Source organism: Homo sapiens, chromosome 1 (assembly GCF_000001405.40).
Source record: "Homo sapiens chromosome 1, GRCh38.p14 Primary Assembly".
NCBI lineage: Eukaryota > Metazoa > Chordata > Mammalia > Primates > Hominidae > Homo > Homo sapiens.
In genome coordinates, this window is record NC_000001.11 from 30,525,881 (window position 1) to 30,530,094 (window position 4,214).

A 4,214-nucleotide genomic window follows, 5' to 3' on the forward strand; every position below is an offset into this window, starting at 1 on the left:
ACAGGCCCTGGCAGGCTAGTGAGGGTGCAGGTGAATGAGGCTTAAATGGGAGTCCATCAGGATCCTTGGGCATAGCACCAGGCAGAGGCAGGAGCCGAGAGGGGAGTGAGTGGACAGGAGCCACTGTGGCATCAGATTCAAGTGTGTCCATCAGTCCCAAACAGTATTAGAGACCTGCCAGAGCCAGCCACGTGTCCCCGCCCAGCTCGGGACATTTCAGGCTCCAGCAGTGACAACTGCTCTGTTTCTGTCAAGGTCCAGCTGTTTTAATGGAGACTTTAAATAATCCCTCTGCTGCCAATAAATTTATGTCATGGTGTTCCAGCCACAGCCAGGCTCTTGTTTCATGAGTCATCCCTGGTCGGCTGGTTCAGAGGGAACCCCCGGCTGGTGCAATGAAGGAAGGACCAGGTCAGCCTTCTGCCCCTTGTCGGGTGTCAGGAAAGGATCTCACACACCCACACTATGGCTCTAGGGCTCCATCTTCCAGAGTGACCAGTGATCAGCATTAATAGTAATCCTGCCTGGGGCCCCTCAGCTGGAATCCTGCCCGAATCCAAAGAGAGGACTTTTCCCTTGATCGTGTCCCTCTGAAGCTGAGAAAGGAGAGAGACTCCGTGACATCCTGGAGGACATGGTGGAGCCCAGGGCCTGGAGGCCACCATGCATCTGCAGGGCAGGGGTGGGGCAGGTGGTCACAGGAAACATGGGCAGAGAGGGCTGGAAGCTGGAAAGTACAGGAATGGGGAAGCCAACCAGGTGGGCAGGGGTGGTCATCAGCCACAGAGCCCACCCAGAACAGAGGCCGAGCCCAGCCTAGGGTTGGGAGAGGGTCTCTGGGATCAGACTCCCTGGGTTCAAGTGAGTCCCTGGGTTCAAGAGGTTCACTACCTCTACCACCGACTAGCTGTGTGACCTTGAGGAAGTCACTTAACCTCTCTGTGCCTCAGCCATATGAGCGTTAAATAAGATAAAATACATAAAGTGCTGAAAGCAATACCTGGCCATGGTGATCATTCATGAGGGCTGCTATTGGGCAGGTTCCTCATGTTCACCCTCCCCCTGCCTGTCTGTTCTTCAAGGGGTGGTCATCCCTGATGCTGCAGAAAAGCATCCAAACTGAAGGGCACAGGGCTGGTGGAGATTTAGACAAAGGGAGCCTGAACTGGGCCATCCTATCCCAAAGGAATGATTCTCCAGGATGCCCTCCCAGCATCTGTAGACTGGTCAGGCAGCTACTGTGGGTGGGCCTGGGATTTGCCCAGGGAGCTGGGGGGTTGCAGAGATCTGCCCTGGATCCCTGAAACCCGACCATGTGGGTGGCCTCTCCAGCCGTTTGTAACAACATTTCTCAACAAGCAACATCCCCATGAGGTAGGCAGGGTGCTTCCAGGTGAGGCAAGTGAGGCTCAGTGAGAGGAAGAGACTGTTCTCTCCAGCGCATCACTGGCAGTCAGATAAGAGCCCAGGACTCCAAGGCACACAAAACAGGTAGGTGCTTAATGCTGGAAAGCTTGGTGACCCCTTGGCCACTTGTGAGGTCTATTTTTGAAGCTGCTGAAGGGGCACCTCCTCTCCTACCTGCCATTTGCAGCCCAGCTCCCAGTGAACTTCAGAAAATGAGATGAGAGGAGAAAGGGACAAGGATCCCCACATCCCCAGTCACAGCAGCGCTTACAAATGCCTGCCCATTGTGAGCCCAGGCGGCCCTTCACACCGCCAAGGTCAGACAGCGTCTTTACATCCTAAACATGGCCATGACACAGGCGTCCTGCCGGGAATAAATCCTGCCCACATTTCCCTGTCCTCAGGCACCTCTGGGCCCCAGCGGTGACAACTGCTCTGTTTCATCAAGGTCCAGCTATTTTCATGGGTACTTTAAATAACTCCCTCTGCTGCCAAGGAATTTGTGTCCTGCTGAAACGTGTGCTATTGAATAGATGACCAAGAGAGGTTCAGGGCCTGGCTGTTGTTGGACAATGAGCACAAAGCTCCCTCCCTGTCCTTCATCTTCCAGGAAGCCAGTTTCCAGTGACTCAGCAGATCCACCACGGAGTGCCAGGCCATGTGCAGGGCTCTGGGCTCAGAGAGAACGATTGTTCATGTGCCTGTGACCATGAGAAGTTCATAGTCAGATGGCGGAGGCAGACCTGCCAGCAACACACACCACCCACCTGCAAAGCGCCAGATGAGAGGTCACAGCAATGGCTGCCATTCCATGACCACCTGCTGTCAACAGCGCTACTCAGTTAGGGCCTACTGTGTGCCAGCCTGGGGCCAGGAGAGTCACAGGTGTTGTCATTAGCTCTCACAACAACCTTCCTTGTTGGAATGTAATTTATTCTGAACAGCTTTATTGATGTATAATTTGCGTACAGTAAACGATGCATATTTAAAGTATAAAATTGCATACCTTTGACATGTAAACACCCATGAAATCATCATAATCAAGATAATGAGTTCCCTCACACCCCTTAGCAATCTCTCTCTTTTGCTCCCTGTCCCCATTCCCAATCACTGATCTGCTGTGACTATAAATTAGTTTGTATTTTCAAGAGTTTTATATAAATGAAATATTTCAGTATGTCTGGCTTCTTTCACTCACAATAATTATTTTGAGAATCATTCCTGATACAGCACATGTGAACAGTCCATCAACAGTCCATTCCTTTTTGTAGATGAGTAGTATCCCATTGTATGGAGATCCCACAATTATTTGTATCCATTGTTTGATGAACACGTGAACTGTGTCCAGGTTGTGGCTCTTACAAATAGAGCAGCTATGAAAGAATGTTCATTCAGGTATAAGTCTTTGTGTGGACAAACGCTGACATTTGTCTTGGATAAATTCCTCGGAGTGGAATTACTATACCATCTGATAAGTGTATTTTCAACTTTTTAAGAAACTACCAAACTGTTTTCCAAAATGGTTGTATTATTTTATATCATCACCAAGAGTGCCAGAGAGCTCCATTTCCTCCACATCCTTGCCAGCACATGATATGTTCAGTCTTCATAATTTTAGCCATTCTAATAAATATGTAGTAACATCTCACTGTAGTGTTAACTTTTGATTCCCTAATAACCAAAGGGTCAGAGCATCTTTTCATTTGTTTGTCATCTGTATATCTTCTGTGATAAAGTGTCTGTTCAGGTCTTTTGCTATTTTTTGTTGGGTTTTTTACTGAGTTTTGAGAATCTTTGTATATTCTGGATAAAAGTCCTTTACTAAATATATGCCTTGCAAATATCTTCCCCTAGGTTGTGTCTTCTCTTTTCATTCTCCTATCGGAGTCTTTTAAAGAGCAATGGTTTTTTTCTTTTGATGACGTCCAACTTATCATTTTGTTCTTTTATGGATCATACTTTTTCTGCCACATTGAAGCAATCTTGATCTAAAATAAGGCTGTAAAATTTTTTCTATGTTGTCTTCAAGTTGTTTTGTAGTTTTAAATTTTACATTTAGATCTATCATACATTTCCAGTCAATTTTTGTATATGGTACAAGGTAGGGATCAAAGTTTCCTTTTTGTTTGTTTGCTTTGTTTTATGACTATCCAGTTGTTCCTCCACCATTTGTTGAGGAGACTATTCTTACTCTCCTGAATTGCCTTCATGCTGTGGTCAAAAATCACTTGTAAATCTTTACATAAGTTTATTTCTAGACCCTCTACTGTTTCACTGATCTATTTATCTTGACGCCAATATCTCCTGCTTTGATTGCTGTAACTTTATAATTCAAAATTGGGGACTGAATCTGTACTTCTTTTTTTGTTCGTTTTGGCTTGTTTTTAAGACAGGGTCTCACTCTGTTGCCCAGGCTGGAGTACAGTGGCATAAACAAGGCCCACTGCAGGCCTGAATTCCTGGGCTCGTGTGATCCTCCCACCTCAGCGTCCAGAGTAGCTGGGACTGCAAGCACGTGCCACCATGCCCAGCTAATTTTTTTTATTTTTGTTTTTTGGAGAGACAGGTTCTCACTATGTTGCTCAGGGTGGTCTCAAATCCCTGGGTTCAAGCGATCCTCTCACCTTGGCCTCCCAAATTGCTGGGATTACAGACATGAGCCACCACGCCTGAACCTTAACCTGTACTTCTTTTACAAAGTTGCTTTGGCTTTTATAGGTCCTTTGAATTTCCATGTGCATTTAGAATCTGCTTCTCAATTTCTACAAAAAAAAATTATATATCTATAATATATATAAAAAACATAT

The 4,214-nt window shown here is 46.3% G+C and overlaps 1 annotated feature.

Annotated features, from left to right (window-relative positions):
• Nucleotides 1,418-2,617: an enhancer, noted in NCBI's record as "CDK7 strongly-dependent group 2 enhancer chr1:31000145-31001344 (GRCh37/hg19 assembly coordinates)". NCBI's record gives its function as "activates an origin of replication core promoter dependent on BRD2, BRD4, P300/CBP, MED14 and CDK7 cofactors, with strong dependence on CDK7, by STARR-seq in HCT116 cells {active_cell/tissue: HCT116}" and the evidence as "EXISTENCE:reporter gene assay evidence [ECO:0000049][PMID:35650434]".